The following is a 22,580-nucleotide window of genomic DNA, read 5'->3' on the forward strand; positions in this document are numbered from 1 at the left end:
GTGCCAATAGTCTTGATATTTCCTTCTTATATGCAAAGAATAAAGACATTATATCATCTTATTCTAGCTTTAAAACAAAATGAAACAAAAATGCTGGAACAACCTTGAATAGATATATATCATAAGATGTGCAATCAGTATCAGGAGCTGCATTATCCTGTGCATGGAGCTCAGAACAGACCACAAGATTATGCAGCTCCCTTTGTTACTTGTCATTCTTATGAAGCTGTCATCTCATTTCTCAAAGGAATTTCCAGTCTGTAATGTTACCTTTCCCACAGTGCCTTATTTCCAACAAAAATAGTAAGAGGGCATTAGGTCTCAATTCCCTTTGCTTTATATTCTCTCCTTAACCGAAAAGAAAACTAATTAAATATGTTTTCCTTGATCAAATGCTTTTTTACCCCTAAGCATCCTGGAAAGTGGTCTCAGAGTCAATATTTTGGGGATGATGCCTTCTCTACAGAATGAATTTCTCCAAGCTCAACTAAAATGGTCAAAGGTCTATCCACATTTTAAAAAATTAAGAATTTACCAGACACTTTTCTTTCTATTTATTTACTTTTGAGGATAAGGTCTCATTCTATTTCTCAGTCTGTAGTGCAGTGGTGCAATCGTAGCTCCTTGAAACCTTGAACGTCTTGGCTCAAGCAATTCTCCAGCCTCAGCCTCTCAAAGTGTTGGGATTACAGGTGTGAGCCACTGTACTTGGCTCATTTTTTTCCTTTTTAAAAATTCTGTTGTTGAATTATTTAAATCATATTAACAGCACATAAAGGTTGGTGAAGTAAGAAAGTGGGGGTGGTTAGAGAGAGAAAAAGGGAAAGCATACCTCTTTTTTCTTATTCATTTTTCATTTAAAATTATGTGTGAGTTCTTCAATAGACTGTCATAGTACTCAGGAACAGGTGCGTGCGTGCGCACAGACACACGCACGTGTGACTCTACCCACTCCCTGATAAAAATGTGTTCAATGTTTAACTTTATTTTTATTTATTTATTTATTATTTATTTTGAGACGGAGTCTCGCCTTGTAACCCAGGCTGGAGTGCAGTGGCGCGATCTCCGCTCACTGCAAGCTCCGCCTTCCGGGTTCACGCCATTCTCCTGCCTCAGCCTCCCGAGTAGCTGTAGCTGGGACTACAGGCGCCTGGCACTGCGCCCAGCTAATTTTTTGTATTTTTAGTAGAGACGGAGTTTCACCGTGGTCTTGATCTCCTGACCTCGTGATCCACCCACCTCGGCCTCCCAAAGTGCTGGGATTACAGGCGTGAGCCACCGCGCCCTGCCCAATGTTTAACTTTCTAGCAAAAAGACAAACTTCATGCAAGCAGGAACTGGGCTCATTTTGTTCACTCTGTTATCTCCCATCTTTGGAACAGTGAGTACCGCAGAGGAGATGGTCTGTACATATTTTCTATATGAGAGGTAGATTTTTAAGGTATAAGGAACAATAGTTGGTCAATTAAGGAGCCTCTTACGTCCTTGTATGAAAACAATCCTATATTGTTTTACTTTGTCTTGAATTTTGTGAACCAATATACTGGCTACTATGTTCAGAGAATGTAGAGCAGCCCTGGTATATCTTCTTTTTATTTAGAAATAGTTTTAAACTTAGAAAAAAACTTAATACAAGAAACTTTTTCCCCTAAATCATTTGAGAGCAAGTTGCTCACATGCTATCCTATCACCAACCAATATTTTAGTGTGTGTTTCCACAAGCGAGGACATTATTCTACATAACTGCAATACAGCCATCAAACTCAGGTCATTAACATTGACATATTACTACCATCTAATTCATACACCCCATTCAAATTTCTTCAGTTGTTCCAATAATGTTATTTATGACAAAAAATCCAATCCAGGATCACACATTGCATTGAACTGTCATGTGTCTTTAGTCTCCTTCCAACTGGGACAGTTCCTCAGTCTTTCCTTGACTTTCATGACACTGATGGAACAGTTTGGAAATCTACAGATGATCTATGTTTTAGGATGTCTCCCAATTTAAGTTTGTCTGATATTTCCTCATAATTGGACCAGGTTATTCATTTGGGGCAAGAAGGTCCCAGTTGTGATGGCCGCATGTGTGTCACACACTCCATCAGGTGGCATTCGATCCTGACTTTTCCCATTCGTGTTGAAATTCACTTTGATCACCTCCCAGTTTCTCCAATGGAAGTTGCTCTTTTCCTTTTGAAATTAGTATGAATGTCATGGGAAGGTAACTTGAGAATACGTAAATATCTAATTCCTCGGCCAGGTACAGTGGCTTACACCTGTACTCCCAGCACTTTGGGAGGCTATGGTGGGATAATTACTTGAGGTAAGGAGTTCAAGACCAGCCTGGGTATTATAGCAAGACCCTGTCTCTACAAAACGTAAAAGAAATAGCTGGGTGTGGTAGTGTATGCCTGTAGTCTAAGCTACTCAGGAAGCTGAGGCAGGTGGATCATTTGAGCTCAGGAGTTTGAGGTTGCAGTGAGCTATGTTCACACCATAGCACTCCAGCCTGGATGACACCGTGAGAACCTGTCTCCAATTTAAAAAAAAAAAAAATCCAATTCTTCATGAAATTCTTACTCATTAGTTCTATATCCATTGATATCCCTTGGATAAACTATTACTATGATGATTGCTAAATGATGATTGTCTAATTCCATCATTCTGTCTATATCTATTGACATTCTACTATAGGAAGATTTGTTCTTTCTCATTAATTTTTATTGGCAAAATCTCATGAGTTCGTATTTTGTTCAATTGATAAAATTCATTATCATTATCCATTTTGATGTTTAAATTTATTTGACATCCTGGAAGCCCTTTCAAGTTGACATCAGTTTCATTTGTCACAGCTATGATTCTCTGAGAACGTTCTTATTTTCTGGCTGAAAACACTCTGTACTTACCTAGTTCTGCCCCAGCCCTGGTATCAGGCTTTATTCTAAGAAGCTTTGATTTCTTTTGGTAGAGAATGGTATTTAGAAACCAAGAACTGGACTCTAATTGTGCTGATTGGTTTTGAGTTATCAATATACTGGCTTTCTCAGAGAACACAGCTTGGGTATGTATATATATTTATAAAGTTTAATTAACTTTTCTCCCTTTTCATGTGTGTACACCCTTTCTCCAACAGTGTAAAAGTTGGTTACTGTTATACTTAGTATATTTACTCAGAGATCACTTGATTTCTGAGACTTTGTGCCAGGCCTCTACTGTCACTCTTACCTATAAGCACCCTCTTCACCTATTTCAAGCTCTTCTTCATCCAGTATTTATGAGCCACATTCAATGTGGCACTCACATTCCAAAGATAGTAGATAGAGAAGTGAACCAAATAAACATGGTCTCTGTTCCCATGAAGCCTGTCTTCTACCTGGAAAGCACTGAGATAGATTTGAATTTTAATTGTTTTTTTTTTTTTTTTTTTTTTTTTTTAGTGGTCACAAAACTTCATCAGGCAGTCACATAAACCATAAGGAGGTTAAAGGCAAACATATGCAGAAACATTTTAAACAGATTCACATGTAGGTCAACATTCATAGAGATTTTCCAGCAATAATGCTTTTCTAGAAAAGGTTTATTAAAGATATCAGTCAATTGTAAGAATTATGATCTATAAATGCTATTCATCACCACCTAGAATATATATCAGACATCAAAGTATTAACTTCTTTGAGTAATTTTTTTTCTAGTTAAATCTTCATTGTCAGACCTCACTTAGATGCAAATTCTTTAAGAGAAATCTTCCAGAGAAGCTTAAATTATAAAAGCCATATAAGTAGAAACACTGTATGTAAGTGGAAGTGGGGTCTAGGAAGCTTTCCCCACCTTCTTCCCCTTCTGTGCAATCCATGGAGCAACTCTGTAGAACACAGTTTGAAATCCTGGGCTACTTAAATGCCCTACTTTTTTTTTTTTTTAGCAAACCTGAAAAACTTCATTCCTTTATGTGGTCAAGAAATAATTACTATGCATCTTTTCTGTACCTAGTAATATACTAGGTGCCATAGAAAAAAGAACAGAAGCCTGGAAAGGTCCACTTTTATCTCACTGAGTTTGCAGACTTCTAGGAATAGAGGCAGCATACAAGTAAGCAAACACAAAGATATTTCCAGACTGATGTAAAACATGTGAAGAAAACCCATGAAGCTGCAAGGGAGCATTGTGGCAATCCTAAGCACTTTATAATAGCGTGGCTTGGAAGAACCTTCATAAAGTGGTGATACTGAAGCTGAGTCCTCGGTAATGTAGATCCAGGCATGAGAATGGTGGGCAAAAGTGATAAGATAATTTTAGACAGAGGGAACCGTGTGCATAAAGGAGCTGAGGCAGGAAGAAGCAGGCATATTCCTAAGAACCTTGCGGCCACTATAGTTGGGAACCATAGATCAAGGATAAGAGGATAAGTTAGTTAGGAAGAGGCCAGTTTTTGCAGGGCTTTGTTTAGGAGTTTAGATTTATTCTTAGACATGGGAAGTCGCTGTAGAATAATGATTGAATAAGGTGTTCGTCATATTTTGGCTACCTAGCAGCTCACCTTCTTCCTGTGTTTGGGAGGATTATCCACTGTATGAGTCCTGGGAATCACTGCTCACCCCCTGTCTCCTTCTCCTAGTGGAGTTCTTCTCTCTCAGGCACTTACAGTGAGAGAAGCATGGCACAAGATCAGGGCTTAGTCAGTCCTATGCCCCTTTCCAGAGCTTTGAACCTGGAGGAGAGTAAGGGAGCACAGCAGAGGAGAAAATTTCCTCCCACTGCACAGTCCTAATTAAATGGCTCTTCCTGGGCCATGGCAATGGGTCCTGTGGCTTGTCTTCCTTGGCAATGGGTCCTGTGCCTTGTCTTCCTTGGCAATAGGTCCTGTGGCTTGTCTGCCTTTGAGGCTTTATTTCTCCACCCTGGCTCCCCAGCCTTTCTGTCCATCTGGCAAGTGCTCAACATTCCTCTAACTAATTTTTCTGCATAAGTTACTATCTTGTATACAATCAAGAACTATGGCTGTTGAAAAAGATATCTCTGGCCACTAGATGGAGATAGAGAAGGCTAGAACAGAGGAAAAGGTGGCCTTGATTTGGGTAACAAGGTGATGATAATGGAGAAAATTCAGAGTAGAGATGAATACCCAAGAGTAGGTAAAAAAAAAAAGCCTCTCAGGTTGGGGAAGAAAACAGCTGTTAGTAAGGCCGTGAACTTTCCTTCACATGAGAATTCTGAAGCTAGCCTTTGGCTACAACCCAAAGTATACTGAATTAAGGTTTTGGTAAAAATAAAGCCACTGTTTAACAAGCTCCCTTACTTGCATTTTCAGTTATAGCAGATAGTGAGAAGCATATACGAAGTAGAAGTGAGGTGGGAAAAGTAGCACTGTTAGAGTCCATTGGTTCTTTTTACCTTTGCATCCTTTTTGAAAGCAACATTTTCATTCAGCTCAGCACAAAGATGCATGTTCAGAATCATAACCCTAGGCGAGCAGTTGTAAATACTCTGGAAGATGTGGTTTGTTTTTTGTTTTGTTTGTTTGGCTTGTGCCGCATTGAAAAATGAATTAGTTGTCAACATTAACAAATAGGAAGACTGGATTTTATTGCAAAAATGTTTAGCTTGGGCTGGGTGCAGTGGCTTATGCCTATAATCTCAGCACTTCGGGAGTTTGAGGCAGGAGGATCACTTTAGTCCAGGAGTTTGAGACCAGCCTGGACAGCATGGCAAAACCTAGTCTCAAAAAAAAAAAAAAAAAAAAAAACTTAGCTGGGCATAGCGGCCTGGGCCTGTAGTCCTAGCTACTCAAGAAGCTGAGGTGGGAGGATTGCTTGAGCCCCCGAGGTCGAGGCTGCAGTGAGCCGAGATCACAACAGTGCAATCTATCTTGGGTGACAGAGGGAGATCCTGTTTCAAAAAAAGTTTAGCTTTTCTGTAGAAGAATTTTGAGCAGCTCCTTCTAAAAAGGAAATGTACACCTCCATTTTGCCACAGTCACCACACTCCCTCTTGGCTCTCTTGGCAAATATTTGTGTTACTTGTTAACTCTCACGGGCATTTGATTTTGAAATTTCCTAAAGATACCAACAAAAGTTTGAATTCTGTTTCATGTATGTTTAAAAATATGAACATGAATGACAATATGAGGAATATTCCTATTAATGTCATTAAAATACTTACATGGTAGGAATTAAATCTCATTATCTGACTCTTTAATAATGAAGATGGAATCAAGCATTGTTCTATAGCCATATTTCCTGATAATTGTTTACTATAAGATATTTTTTGATAGTCTTATGAAACAAAGAGATGAGGATGGTATTATATAGGGCAAATTTTGGCTCAGGTAAACATGATTGTTTTTCTAATTTGGGAGGAAAATTCTTTTGTGAAAATAATCCAAGAGTTGCTTTGCCTTTTCTTCTCTCATGAATAGTTAACTTCCGAGGTACTTGGGATCTTCTTTTGAATTTTAATCTCTTTTCCTACTTTTCTGTACTTCTAGACATGTTCAAAGTCATATGAATTGTACAGATGTAAGACAAGTCTTAAAAAATCATAGAGAGTATCACAGGAAAGCATTATTGAAAAGACATTACTAGTAGATATTTGACTAACCATAGGGTTTTAAGTTGAAAATAAATTGGAGAACTTTTTGATCAACTTTTTCACTGGGCATTGGGGAATCTGAGACATTAATTTTTAAAAGACTTTACTACAACCAGAGATGACTTTATAGTGAGATTCAGAGAACATGCTACTGGATTTCAAGTTCAATTAGGATAAAATCTCAGTTCCAACTCGTGCATACAGTTCCTTTGTAATCTGTTTCTTGCCTGCCTCCCTGACTCTCACCTTTTTCTGACATGGCTCACTAAATTCAGCTCACACTTTTAGAACACACTGATGTGGGAGGCTAGGCTTAGAGTGAGGCAAGGGAAACATCACTTTACATTTTCTCCCTCACCCCACCTCCCACCTTAAGTTTCGTGCCCTGGTAAGGCACTCACCACAGGCACAAAATTTAAGGGGACACAAAAACATAGTAATCAAGAGAAATCACATTTAATATAGTATTAAAAAAATAAGTATCAATGCAAAAATATCTATGATGGACAACCTACCAACATTTTAAATACAGATCAGTGTTCTGTGTAGCCACAGTGGATCTTGAGGTGAAGGGAATTACATGTACCCATATTCAGGTTTTAATTTTTTATTTATTTATTTATTTTTTTGAGATGGAGTTTCGCTCTTGTCGTCCAGGGTGGAGTGCAATGATGTAATCTTGGCTCACTGCAACCTCCACCTCCCCAGTTCAAGGGATTCTCCTGCCTCAGTTTCCTGAGTAGCTGGGATTACAAATGCCTGCCACCACGCCCGGCTAATTTTTTGTAGTTTTACTAGAGACAGGGTTCACCATGTTAGCCAGGCTGGTCTCGAACTCCTGACCTCAGGTGATCCGCCCGCCTCGGTCTCTCTGGGATTACAGACGTGAGCCACTGTGCCCTGCCAATGTAGTTTTTAATCGTTATTTTTTTTTTCTGAAACATTGAAGTTGTGGAAAATATATTGAATAATTGAAAAGTGGGTGTATTAAAACGGATAACATTAATATAGGCTCAGATATCTTATACTAACAACAGAATTTATTACAATTTTAATTTCCTGGATTTAATGGAAGCAAACTTGTTGATACTATTCTAAAAAATAGCTCCCTTATTTATCTCATTTTCAACTGAGAGATTCACTATGACCATTTCTCTTGTCTAAGCGACCACCTTGAATAATCTTCAATAAAGTAAATTAAGTGTTAATATGGCCTCTGAGAAACAGCACACCCTTGCCCACCTAGGTTATAAACAAATTGAGGACAAAATGAAATGACGGAGTGATAGCTAAAGGTCAAAATATCACCTTGATTCCTACAGAGGCTGATTTGGAAGACTTGCTTGAGGCTTATTCAGACAAGAAAGCTTATTAGTTCTAAATCTCATGGTTGGGTAGACAAAACCAGCATATCAGGGCAGGGCTCCTTCTTCTCCTTCCCTAAGAGGGCAGAGCTGTCTCTGAAGAAGCAGAACTAGAGGCTACTCCCTTAGGGCATGGAGCTGGGTCCTGAGACAAAGGATGCAAATCAGTTAAACATGAACAGTTGTAGCAGGATGAGCCGCAGATAAAACCTCTCAGACACTGAGTTGTAGAAGGAAGGGCTTTATTCAACTGGGAGCATCGGCAAGCTGCTGCCTTAAAATCCGAGCTCCCCGAGTGCACAATTTCTGTCCCTTTTAAGGGCTCACAACACTAAAGATTTCACATGAAAAGGTCGTGATTGATTTGAGCAAGCAAGGGATACGTGACAGGGGCTGCATGCACCGGTGGTCAGAGAGAAACAGAACACGGCAGGGAGTTTCATAATGTTCTTCTATACAATGTCTGGAATCTATGAATAACATCAGCTTCTAAATCATAAGTTGATTTTTAACTACTGGGTTTAGGCCAGGCAGGCCCGGGCCTGGTTTCAGGCCTGGCGCCGGGCTGCCTGTCTTTGGTTTTACTTCCTTGTTGTTTTTACTGAATATAAAACAATATGAGAGGGGGTCTCTCTTCTCTCACAATTATTCTGCCTAAATTTACCACTCAGATGTCTCTGCACTTATTCTCAAGCAAAGAGACTTGGGGATAGAGGGATGCCAGAAGTTATACCAATGAAGGAACATCAGAAATGGAAAAGGAGGATTCCCCACTAATGCAAACAAGGCACATTCGGCCCCAGGACCTTTGCTTCTGCTGCTGTCTCTGCCTGAAGCACTCTTCCCCTAGGTCTTCACATGGCTGGATGCCTCTCAACATTGTGGTCAAAGCTCAGTTGTTATTCCCCAAGAAGTCCATCCCTGACCACTCTACTTAATGTGGTTCACTTGTTTATTTTTCTTTATGGAGCATCTATCTAAAACTATTTTATCAATACAATGTAAGTTCTCTAATGGCGGTAACCTTGCCTGTCTTGCTGAGCACCTCAAAGTGACCCTGGCACAGAGTAAACAGGTGTCTGAGGTGAGGGTTTTCAGATGCAGAGCTGGAGATCAGTTTTCTTGTGCAAATGCTTTATGGGGGGTGGGGGAGGTTCTGAAGAGAACTGAGAGATGTGGGACAGTGCAGGGGAAGAAGCTGATAAGAAGGACATGGAGTCAGTTCTAGAGTGATCAACCCTCCCATTTTACCTATGCCTAAAGGGTTTCCCAAAATTTTTAGTACTAAAACTGGGGCACTTTTAGGAAAACCAGAACTGTTGGTCACCTAGCCTCAGCCTAATCCCATAGGGGAGATCTGGTGCATATATTTAATCAAACAGTTGTCCCACTTTGAAGCCAGTGAGCCTTCCTTCAGTATAAGTCAGTGGAGGTGGCTCCCATCAGCTGAGGGCAATTCTCAAGAATGGCTGTGAGCTATCAGTAGGCAAAATTCACAGCACCTGGGGAACGGGTTCACCTTCTGGAAAAGGGATTCTAGGTGAGGCATCAACAGAGTAGTGTGTACACCATTACAGCCTGCAATAAATATGTGTTTAATGAATGAGTAAAATACATCATGAAATTTACAGTCTCATCCCATGTTAACGTGGCTCAAGCAACATCTCTTTTGCATTTTGGACTTTTGTGTAATGGAGATGATAGAAGTTTCTTAAGCTCTTTTATCATACGCCTTGGTAATATTTTAGCTTTTTACAACTAGAACACACTGTTCCTTCTTATTTGTGTATACACAAAGTTTATGACTTGCTGACTCAGATTCTCTCAGCCTGTTAATGCTCGCTGGGGGTGAGTTAGGGACTTTGAGAGGCTGCGCTAACTTCTTAATGAATCCCGAATGCCTCGTAGGAAATGTTGGTACTATTCCATTGTGACAAATGGTATCTTAGTGGGGCAAAGAGACATTCCTTCTACAACTCCAAAACAACCAACGTAAAAGATGTAGAGAGGCAGGTAATCCATTGGTCTTATTTACTTAATTTCAAGTAATTTATTTTAGGCTTTTTCCACCTGCTACTTACATTCAACTTTAAATAACAAAATAATTTTAAAAACAGAACATAGTTATCTGTATATGTGTACAGTTTTAAGTATACATGCATATGTGAATGTGTGTATATAGAAATGTGTAGATATGTATGTGTATGTATAAAACTTCTTTCCTTAGACAATATTAATGGCAATTTAGAAAGATACATAATTGGCATCAAGATTATAAAAGGCATAGGAGAAGAAAGGCAAAATACCAACATCCACCATTATCAACACAAAAGAACTGGAGGGAAGCAGTGATATGTTTAATATGAAAACATATCAAGTTCCATACACTTGATAGAGTGAGCCCCCAAATTCTCTACAGGCAACTTATACAAAAAGGAAAATTACATAGTTTTCAGTGCTTATAAGCTAAAGACAAACTGATTCTTTAGGAAAGGTATCAGTATTTCTAAATTGGAGAAAAGGCAAATGTCTCACCAAAGTCTTTATATGATCTATATGCAGCAGACATTGTGCATATATATTGCTATATGGCAATATATATGTTCTGGAAAAACCTTGCAGAATTACTTGGTAAAAATAACAGGGCTTATGGGAAAAATAATGTTAGGCAAACCACTCAAACCATGCAACTACATAATCAGAAAGGCCATAAAAATAACAATAATCCTAAAAATAATGCTTGCATAAATAAAAATGTTACATCTTAATAAAGAAATAATACAGTAAGTATAGGAATTTATATCTTTTATACAACGTGAAGACAGCTTATTAGAAGAAAGTGTAAGAAAGGATTGTGCAAAATTAATAGATGAGGAAATGCATAAAGAGCAGGAAGGACCATGTAAAAATCATTTCCAAGACAGATCTCCAAGTTTAATCGAGGATACAGAATAACTTGGATTGAATGGGCATCTTGTATTTCTCTTCAACTTTTCATGTGCAGTTTTGTTGGTGTAAGTCCACTGGAGCTGTGTGTTAACATCATGCTTTATTTATTATCCTCATATAAGCTCGTGTACCTCACAGAGGCAGCTATTGCAGAACAGACTATACTTTTTAATATGACATATGTGTGGGTGATTCAGGGCACTAACCAAACCACTTCTCCAAAAAAAAGTTAAAAATCATGAATAAACAAAGATTTTTTTGTTTTTATACACATAATTCATAATTTAAATTACCTTGCTTTTGTTTCATTTTGTGGTGCTCAGTTTTGCCTTTACAAACCTTCATAATAGATATCCTGCTAATTGACAGGTTCAATAATGTTTAGTAATTAGCAAAGAGAGTATGCTTTTCATAATAGTAAATCCTTTGTATTTTGGTTTCATAAAAATTTATTTATGCGATTTGGTTGTTTGAATCAGAATATAAATTGGTAAACTAGGTCAGGAATACATTACTGTTTTTCTTAAAAACTGCTCTTTTGATAGTGGGATTTTCTGAGTATTTCATACTGCCATTCTTATACCATATTGTTAAGATAAGCAACAGGAAATAAAACAATTTCATCTACTGTAAGTTTATCATAAGATCTTGGATACTAATTTAGCATGCAGTAGGTTTTGGCAACTTTCCCCCTTAACAAGCAAAGATTGATCCTCAGGAAAAATCAAAGTTATTATATGGGCTGTTCCATTAATAGCACTTGAAGAAAAATGAAAATGGGCAGCTAGTCTAAATGTAAATGGCATATCCAGTTTGGAAACAAATGGCTAAAGGAATGAAGAACTATTGAAATATATGCCTACCTTTGCATTTGGTCATTTAATCCAATATTATGAAGCAATGCTAGAATTTACCAGTGATATGTATCCTTTCATCAGTATGTGGGGGATATATGATGTGATTTTTATGTCATTCCCCTTAGAGGGAGATAATGCACAGAACTCACAAAAATTCAAATAAAGGGATGTTAGAAAAATCAAAAGGGGACCAGGTGCCCATAGCTCATGCCTGTAAACCAAGAACTTTGGAAGGTCAAGGCAGGAGGATTGCTTGAAGCAAGGAGTTCGAGATCAGCCTGGGCAACAAAATGAGACCCAGTCTCTACCAAAAAAAAAAAAAATTAAAAATTAGCTGGGCCTGGTTCTACATGCCTGTTAGTCCCAGCTTCTCTGGAGTCTGAGGCATGAGGATTGCTTGAGCCCAGTAGTTCAAGACTGCAGTGAGATTTGGTGGTGCCACTGCACTCCAGCCTGAATGACAGAGTAAGACCCTGTTTCTTAAAACAAAAAAGGAAGAAAAATCAAAAGGGGCATGTTATCATCATCATCGTCAAGTGGTGGCAAGTAACTTGGAATGCTAGCATTTTCTTCTTAGAATGAAGTTACTTCTGGAATGCCATGCTGTATATGTTAATTTTGTAAATCTGTAAAGGTTTAAGTTTCAGCAAGATTTTGTTTTTGTTTTTTCTTTCTCTCTTGAATATATTTCTTCTGAGAATTTATTTCTAAGACGGCAGAGAAACAGGAGTCTGACAGTCCCTGGCTGACTTTAGCAGGTTAGAGAGCTGAGTAATTCAGGAAGTGTGTGATTCTCTCCTGGTTGGGCAACTGGGAGTTTGGATGTGGAGCTAAGTGAATCTCACTCACTGTGTATCTTTTTAAAACATGCGCTGCTATAGTTTGAATATCCCCTCAAAACTCATATTGAAACTTAGCTGCCATTGTAAGAGTGTGGAGAGGCAGAATCTTTTTTTTTTTTTTTTTTTTTTTTTTTGAGACAGAGTCTTGCTCTGTCGCCCAGGCTGGAGTGCAGTGGCGCGATCTCGGCTCACTGCAAGCTCCGCCTCCCGGGTTCACGCCATCCTCCTGCCTCAGCCTCCCGAGTAGCTGGGACTACAGGCGCCCGCCACCACGCCCGGCTAATTTTTTGTATTTTTAGTAGAGACGGGGTTTCACCGTGTTAGCCAGGATGGTCTCGATCTCCTGACCTCGTGATCCACCCACCTCCGCTTCCCAAAGTGCTGGGATTACAGGCGTGAGCCACCACGCCCGGCTGAGGCAGAATCTTTAAGAGGTGATTAAGTCATGAGGGTTTTGCACTCATGAATGGATTGATGCTGTTATTGTCAAGTGGGTTAGCTATTGTGGGCATGAGTTCCTGATAAAAAGGGTATGTTTGGCCCAATTTCCTTGTGTTCTCAAATGCTTCCTTGCCATGTGATGCTTTTCACTACATCATCAAACACCAGGAAGGCCTTTACCAGATGCAGTCCCTCGATCTTGGACTTCCCAGCCTCCAGAATTGTGAGTTAAATACACATCTTTTCTTTATAAATTACCCAGTTTGTGGCATTATAGCAGCAGAAAATTAATTAGGACATAGGCAGATTAGAAAAATGATCTGGAGATGGAAATTTCATCTATAGATTGAGGGATGGGGTAGGGGCAAAATTGTGATTAAGACCATAGGTTCTGAAATTTGACTGCCAGAGTTTTAATCATGGCTTCATTGCATTTTAGTTCTTGTCATCTTAGGAACATTTGTCAATCTCTACCAGCCTCATCTTTCTCTGTAGAACAAGAATGATTCTCATATGAACTGCAAAAGGTTGTTGTGAGGACTGAATGAGACAAGCATGCAATGTGCCCAGCAGAGTACCAGGTACATAGGAAGTACTCAATACATGTTCACTTCTATCATTACCATTACTATTATTACACCGTCTGTAGGCCCAGGCTGTAGCAAGATGTGTTTGTTCTTCCAGAGAACTAGAAGCAACTCTTTGGAATGTGGGTACTATGGATAAAATACTATCATCACTTTCCTAAATCTTGGAATTTCTTCACTACTTATTTGTGTGTATCTGACAGAGTTTGTGGTTTCCTATAAACAAGTTGTGAGAGGGAACAATTTTCATGTGAGCTTCTCTTTTTAAAACCATTTTGGTGGCATATTATTCAAGGAATAGTCATAATAATAGGTCAAAGAGAAACAAATACACAGGATATTAAAGAGCTTCTCAGCATTTGCTTAGATGATACTACTGTTGTGAGTGGCACAGATAATCTGTCTATTCATGAATGGTTGCAAGCAATTAGATGATTCAGTAGAGATAATCAAATGCTATTCTTTTTTTAACTTAAGCTCTTCACTTGCCTACTGGTAGTACTGGTTTTGTCTAGATGGAGTTTAGAACTTCTATATTATTTAGTGTACAAAAATCCACCCAGGGCTGGGCGTGGTGGCTCATGCCTGTTATCCTAGCACTTTGGGAGACCAAGGCTGGTGGATGTGAGCCCTAGAGTTTGAGACCACCCAGGACAACATGGCGAAACCCCATCACTACTAAAAATACAAAAATTAGCCAGGCATGTTGGCACACTCCTGTGATCCCAGCTACTCAAGAGGCTGAGACATGAGAATTGCTTGAACCCTAGAGGCAGAGGTTGCAGTGAGCTGAGATCACGCCACTGCTGCTCCAGCCTTGGAAGCAGAGCAAGACTCTGTCCCAAAAAAAAAAAAAAATCAAGCCATCCAAAGTCATAAAAATAGTCTGGGTCACCAAAAGAAGCCCTGTGACAATTTGACAATTTGAAGACAGATAAATACTGTATTTCATTTTAATTAATTAAAAGAAATTATAGCATGATGGCATGTATTTTAATTTCTCAGATAAATGCATTTAAAAATTAGTCTAATTTTTATATTAGACTAAATTTGACTGAATTGATCATTATTTTAGATTAAAATATGTTCTGGAAGATTTATTCTTTAAAAAACAACAAATACTAGAAATTACATATGCAAGTGAGTTTATTCTTATCAAAAGTAGAGGCATTAACTAAAAATTGTCTATAAATTCTTCTTTGCAAATTGCTGTCAGCCTCCGCAAGGTTTTATTGTCATTTTCAGTACCCTCTGTAGTGGCCAATTTTATCCTTTTAGTGCAGATAATCACTGTCTTGCAGAGATCATTAATCCTTTCTCTCTTTTCCTCTATTAAATTAACTTAGTAAACCCCAATGTGGTTGAATCCAAATATTCACTATCTTCAAATGTGGCAGACACAGCTATTTGTTTAAATACATTGTTGTTTTCTCATTTTTTCTTTACTAACTTTTCAATGGTTTTGTTCAGGACAACAACCTTCAGATGCTGGCTTTCCTGCCTCCCTTGAAGCTAGGGTTGGCTATGTGTTACATGCCCCACAACTAAGATGAAAATAGAAATCTGGTGGATGTTTCTTGGAAATCTTTTGTTTTCCTAAAAGATAATTACTGAAGCAGGTGAGGCCCCTCCTTTTTTATTCTGGCCATGAATGTGGATGTAATGAATACGAAAACCAATTTGCTGAGCATGGCAGCAGAAAAAGATACAAAAAGCCTGCAACCTGAGGGTATTACTTAGCAGGTGAATCAATACCAGCAAGTGCATATCTCTGTTATGTGAAAGAAAAAGAAATCTCTATTTTTGCACCACCTGCTGTGTGTCAGTTATTCTGTTTTTTTTTTTTTTTTTTTTTTTTTTTGAGTAGCTAACATAGCTAACCACATTCCTACAAGCACATTAATAGTTGAACATTGTTGGAGAGGATCAATCTTTGTGATTGATCTTTAGTTCATACTTGCAGGAAACATAAGGATGCAGCTTTCAGTCTTATTATGCTTTCCTGGTTAAGGTAAGAATTTTGTTTTGTTTCGTAAATCTCTTTAGTCTCATATCTCCTCTCAACAACCTGAAAAATTCACTCAAACTTTGTTCAGAAAATGGAAGCTCTCATCAATGCTCTCCCTTACTCTCCTTCATCTCTGCCCTCTTTCTGCATTATTACTCTCCATCTTCACCTGGCCACAGAAAAAAAAATGTGCCCCTGCTCCTCTTAAGCAAGTCTGCTGTTGCCTATCTGGACCTTCATGGCCTTTGTCCTTCACGATGACATTTTCTCTTTCTTTTCTCCTCTTTCTTCTACATCTTCAATTTCTCACTTGCCACTAGATCATTATATCAGAACATCTTTACAAAAACTTGCCTTGACCTGCTCTCTCCTTAGGCTTTTGACCCATTTCCCTTCTCTCCTTTGTAGTCAGACTTGAAAATGTTTTACACATATTGTCTCCATTTTCTAAAGTCCTTCTGTACCCCATTACAATTATGCTTATCTTCCTGCCAGCCCACTGAAACCATTTTCCCCCAAATCACCAATCTCTGTGTAGACGAATCCACTGGAAAATATTTTTTTTTCTTTACTTACCTATTGGCAACAATTGGGAAAGTTTACCAATATCTCCCTGTAATGCCTTCTTATTTTTTTGTTTTTTAAAACTATATTCTCAGTTTTTCTCTCTTCCTTTCTAGCTACTTCTTTCTGGCTTTTTCTTTTCCATAAGATCTTCAAAATATTAAAATTTCAAGGCTAGGTCTTCATCCCTCTCCCTTGTTTGTTTATATTTATCCCTAATGATATATTTCCCCAATTCGCCAACACATGTATCTGTTGATGATCTCTCCTCTGAGCTCCAGGCTTATCTACTGAAAGATGCATTTGACATTTCGTAGATACGTAATAGACATCTCACACGTGAAACATCAAAACAAACTAGATGATCCCCCCAATTTCAACTCTGTTCAGTTCCAATCCCTCTGTCTTAGAAATTGCATTATCATCGTCCACTATTTAAAAATAGAAATATGGAAGCCGTTTTTTGGCATTTCCCTTTTTTAAAGTTTTTTATATCCAATTTATTGACAAGTTAGTTCCATCCTTAGAACCTATCTGGCATACCTCTTTTACTTTGTTTCATTACACAACATCTATAATACCATTTTAAGAAATAAAATTAACTTGCTAAAAGTGCTGAAATGTAAAAGAATGGCAATACCAATTGATAGCGAAGCTATGGGCAATAAGATCTCAGACATTGGGAGAGTAAATTTTAATTGGCAATACCACTTTGAAGAGGCATTGCCTGTTAAAGAGATGCAATGGTTCTATTTCCAGAGACTTACCAACAAGAATGAGTGGGCCGGGCACAGTGGCTTACACCTGTAATCCCAGCACTTTGGGAGGCCAGGACGGTTGGATTACCTGAGGTCAGGAGTTTCAGACCAGTCTGGCCAATATGGTGAAACTGCATCTCTACTAAAAATACAAAAAACTAGCCCGCATGGTGGCTCGTGTCTATAATCCCAGCTATTCGGGAGGCTGAGGCAGGAGAATCACTTGAACCTGGGAGGTGGAGGTTGCGGTGAGCCGAGATCATACCATTGCACTCCAGCCTGGCTGACACAGTGAGACTCTGTCTCAAAATAATAATAATAATAATAATAATAATAAAAGAAGAAGAAGAAGAAGAAGAAGAAGAAGAAGTGAGTGTATGCAACAGCAACAGTTAACATGTACAAAAATGTTCATGTCAGCAATGTTCACAATAGATCCACTTGGGAACAAACCAATGCACGTTGACCATAGAATGAAGACAAACATTGAAGTATAGACACAATAGACACTATAAAGCAAAAAGAAAAAAAAAATGAACAAATTACAGGTACATGAAACATGAAAGAAACAACATGGATGAATTTCTAAAGTGATATTAAAGTTGTATCAGTAGTATTTAGCAAAAGATGCTAGATGCAAAATGATACGAGGAATAATTTCTTTATGTAACATTTAATAACCTGGAAAGCTAAGTTATGGTGTTTAGAAATCTAAACTTAGATGGGAAAAGTATAAAAAACAAAGAAGAAAAAAAAAACCAGTATTACCGTAAAAGTCAAAATACCAGTTATTCATGGGGGGAGGGTGGTGCCCCTCATAATTCGGAAAGACACAGTTTCAAACACCATAATCCCAGATGCTGAAAACTATAAAGTCTAAATCCCCCAAAATTACAATTCTAAAAGATTAAAATTCTGAAAATTGAAATCATGAAAGGTGAATTCTCAGCAAGGGATTAGTGCAATTTCAGGGGTCACCAGGATAGCTATTGTTAGCTGTTTGATGTTAAGGGGAACTATTACCTTGTTTTTTTTTTTAATTTGAAAATTAATTATAGTTTAAGGAGATGCACATGGGGGCCAAGTTGACAAGGGGTGGGTTTGTGGACTTAATTTTAGGTGTCACCTCACTTGAATTAAGGAATACCTAGATATCTGGTAAGGCATTATTTGGGGTGTGTCTGTGACAATGTTTCCAGATATTAGTGTGTGAGTGGACTAGGTGGGGAAGATCTGCCCTCAGTGTTGGTGGGCACCATCCAACTGGCAGGGGCCCTAAAAATAACAAATACAGAAAGTAACTTGGTCTCTGAGAGCTGGGGCCAATTTTCTTCTGCTGCCTTCGACATTATAACGCCAGGCTTGCCAGCCTTTGCACTTACACCTTGGACTGAGAGTTACACCATTGGATTCTCTGGTTCTCAATGTAAAAATGTTGGAACTTTCCCAATAAATGAAGACATCTTCTTTTTGTACATTCACATCTGTGAAAGATAAAATTTTTCAAGATCTCAGCTCTTTAGGTGATTGATTGCATGTGCTGTGGAGACCCGTCACAGTTGTTGATGAATCCCCTCAAAATACTTAGGTTGTCCTTCATGGTATTTTTTTTTCTTCTTTTGAGACAAAGTCTCACTTTGTCGCCCAGGCTGGAGTGTAGGGGTGCAATCCTGGCTCACTGCAACCTCCACCTCCTGGGTTCAAGCAGTCCTCCTGCCTCAGCCTCCCAAGTAGCTGGGATTACAGACATGCATCACTACACCTGACTAATTTTTGTATTATTAGTAGAGATGGGGTTTCGTCATGTTGGCCAGGCTGGTCTCGAACTCTTGTCTTAGGTCATCTGCCTGCCTTGGCCTTCCAAAATACTGGGATTACAGGCATGAGCCACCTCTCCCAGCCTCTCTCCATGACCTATTTATTTAAGAATATGGTTCACCTGCTCATAACTGTTATAAGCAGGCAACTGTCATTAGTATATCTGAGTGTTTGTGCTCGGAAAACTATATATGCTATTATTGCCTATTTTATTGTGTAAAGTGGCCTGCGAAGTGTCCTGTCATATTTTTATGTTTCTCAAACAATTCCCCCTTTAAAACATGTAGATAAATGTTTAGAGAATTTTAAAATTGTTTTTTCCAGAATTATATTTTTAGGATTTCGATCTTTTGGGATGGTGATTTTTGAGATTTTAGACCATAGAAATTTTCATCTTTTGGGATTCCAACATTTGGGATTATGGCATTCAGGAGTGTGTCTTTTGGTATGGTGGCCAAGATCCCAGAGTAGGGGAAGGTAGCTTTGAGTGTGATGGAGCAGGCAAGGGTTTTCTGGGGTGCAAGCAGGGTTCTGTTTCTTGCCTTGCATTTGCTTTTACAATGCATGCTTTCTAATAATTAATCTATACTTGGATGCCCTGTGTATCTTTCTATAGATAGTATATAAATGCATTACATATTTATGTATATTTGTATATAAATATCTATGTTTTACAAGAAAATATACAAATATTTGTATGTGAATATCTATGTTTTACAAGAAAATATGCAAATATTAAATATATAAATAACTTCCCTGAATAAAACCATGGTGTGTAGAATGAGATCCTAATACCTTCTTGTGGCTGACGAATCTCTGCAGGAGCTGGTGGGGCTCCTCTGCAGCCTCATCTTACAGCCCTTTGCTGCTTGTTAAACACATTGGCTCTCACTGGCTTTCTGCCACTTCCTTGAGCGCATCAAGCTCTCTGCTGTCCCGTGGCCCCTTGTCCTGTTGTTCCCTCTTAAAGGAAGACCTCCCCTGGATCTTTGTTCGGTGAGCTTCCTGTCATCCCAAGTCTTAGGTTAAAATGTCAGCCCTTCAGGGAAGAGAGCCTATATAAAGCTTCAACCTGTTATCCTCTGGCATAACAACCTGTTTGTTTTCCTCTTTGCTCATAAGATAATTTGTGATTCCTTTGGTACTGCTTACTAATTTGCTGACAATATTGCCAGCTATATTGGCGGTCTAGAAAAGCAGAGATTTTTTTTCTTTGTTTGCTCCTGTGACTCTGGTGCTTGGGACACAGTAATGCTTGGCTCAATATTATTGCAGGATGAAAATCAATTCATTGGATATAGAATCGTAGGAAGACATCCTATTAGATGACATATGTAAGCAATATTAACTATAATGAAGGTGGAGGAGGAAGAAACATTAGAAGAGAGAATGAAGTAGAAGATAAACTAGAATCACATCTTACGAACTTGTTATATCCGCACGGGGTGACTCAGCTGTTGTCAAGTAGTGAGTCACAGCAGGGCAGACTATGTAGGGGCTGCCACCCGGCTTTTACTCTGTGTGTTTCCTGTGGATAATATCTAATTGTATGTGACATGAATCCAGCCATTTCTAGATTATCCTTATAAGAAGGCATTAACTAGAACTCCTTTCAGTTTTCACCACAGATCACCAACAATGGTTCCTAATTTACTTTAAGAAAGGCCACAATCTGTCCTCAGGATGACTTTCAGGTGACTGACACCTGCCTTGGATGGGCAGCCACTCAGCACCCATGAGCTGTAATTCCCTAGGATCTTTAAAATCTTGGACCTTCAGGTACTGCCCTGGCCTCTTTGCAAGGGTGGTCCTTTACATTCTCAATCCTCCAGCAGGTCATGCAATCACAAGAGATTTGTCAGTCTGCATAAAACATCTGAATGCTAATGAAATGGCCCAGCACATTAATTAGACTGTCAATAGATCAGCCTTAAAAGCTCAGTTTCTCTTCTCTTCATTTATTTTCAAACAAAAGAGCAGCAGCACATTAGGAATGAAATCAGAATACTAATTAATTCCAATTCAGTAAATTTCCAAACAAGCTCTTCATATCCATAAACCAGAAATATTTTATAAATGATTTTGTAATATTAAATGTTACTTCTTTTCTCTATTATTCATAAGGAAGGAAAAATAAGTTCGATGTAGCTAATATATAATACATATATGCTCTAAAGAGATTTCAATAGCCATGTATCAGTAACACTAACTCAGTCAATAAAATATGGATCTCAATAAGAACAACATCAGTTTTTCCTCTTAATTACTTATGAGAATTGATGTCTGATATCAAATCTTTAAATTTAAATGAAGGAGGTATCAATTTTATGACAAAACAAGATTTATTAAATTCAAATTGTCAAATTTTGTAGGACTTGTTTCAGGCAGAATAATGTAACCCCAAATTCATTAAGAAAATGTACTTTGTAAAAAGCAGAAAATTTAATTTGAGATATCAGAGTATAAGTTGTTAACCATTATACAAATAATTGGGAAGCTTTTGGGGAAAATAATCACTGATGTTATTTTCTACTTGAATCAACTTGTGATTAACTGTCATTAGAAGATCGTATGAAGCACCAAATATAACTAAATAAAGACAATGTGTAAGACAAGATTTGCAGCAGTTTTGAGATTGCTACTTCATTTTATGGTTTTGATGCTGCCAATGATCGGGTAGCATTTTCTGGTCTTGAGGCAAATTCACAAAAAGGCTTATATACCGAAACACTCTCAAAACAAAATTGGTAAAAACTGTGGGCTTGCTTTTCTAAATCATACTTCTTTTATCATTAATTCCTATTGATGATCTGAATAGGGGTATATACATTTTTCTTCATGGTATTATGATGCTGTCTTGTATTGTTGGTAGATGATTTGACAATTACAAAAAAGCACTAAGAAAAATAAACATCACTCATAAATCTATCACCATTTATTTATATTTCCTTGCAGTCTATTTGTCTATATGTGTTATATAATATATAATTTGTATACATACATATCTGACATGATTATATATTTTCAAATATTAGAGTATATCATACTTTAAAATAGTTTACATTTATTGAGATATAATTTATGTAAAATTAAATTTATTTTTAATCCTAAACCACTCATGACTCCTCAATGTAGTCCTATCTGGTTATGATTTATTTTCTTCTAAAATACTACTAAATATAATTTGCCAAGGATTTATTAGGATTTTAAATGTATTTACAGCTGAGTTGGGTCTGTGCTCTTCTTATTTTATTTTTGTGCGGTTTCGTATAGGGAGTATGTTTATGTATGACTGAATCAATATTTTTCAAACATTTCTGAAACACCTCCTATAATGGAGATCAATGTTCTTTTGTAATTTATATTATCCTGTATATTTGTATATTTGTCTCTCTATATTGTACATTATAATTTACATCATAATATAAATTATGTTATATCACAAAAATTTGAATTTTGTAATTTATATTATCTTATGAATGAGTGAAACCAGTATGTTCAAATTTATTAGCAGAGAGTTGGATATTTTCCACAACATTTAAGAGCTCCTCCATATTTAATTTTACCTCAAATTTAAGTTCCTTCAATTCCTTAATCCCCTCTTTTATGTCAAAAAACTTTTAAATAGTTGTTTTGAAATCATCCTTTAAGTTTATATATCATTTATTTTTCTAATGCAGTAATCAGTGATTATTTTTATTACCTTTCCTTGTTTTCTTTAGGTAATCTATTCTTTTAAAATTATTTTTCCATTTATAATAAAAGCCATTGAAACCCATGATATGCCTCTTAATATCT

Source organism: Homo sapiens, chromosome 20 (assembly GCF_000001405.40).
Source record: "Homo sapiens chromosome 20, GRCh38.p14 Primary Assembly".
Lineage (NCBI taxonomy): Eukaryota > Metazoa > Chordata > Mammalia > Primates > Hominidae > Homo > Homo sapiens.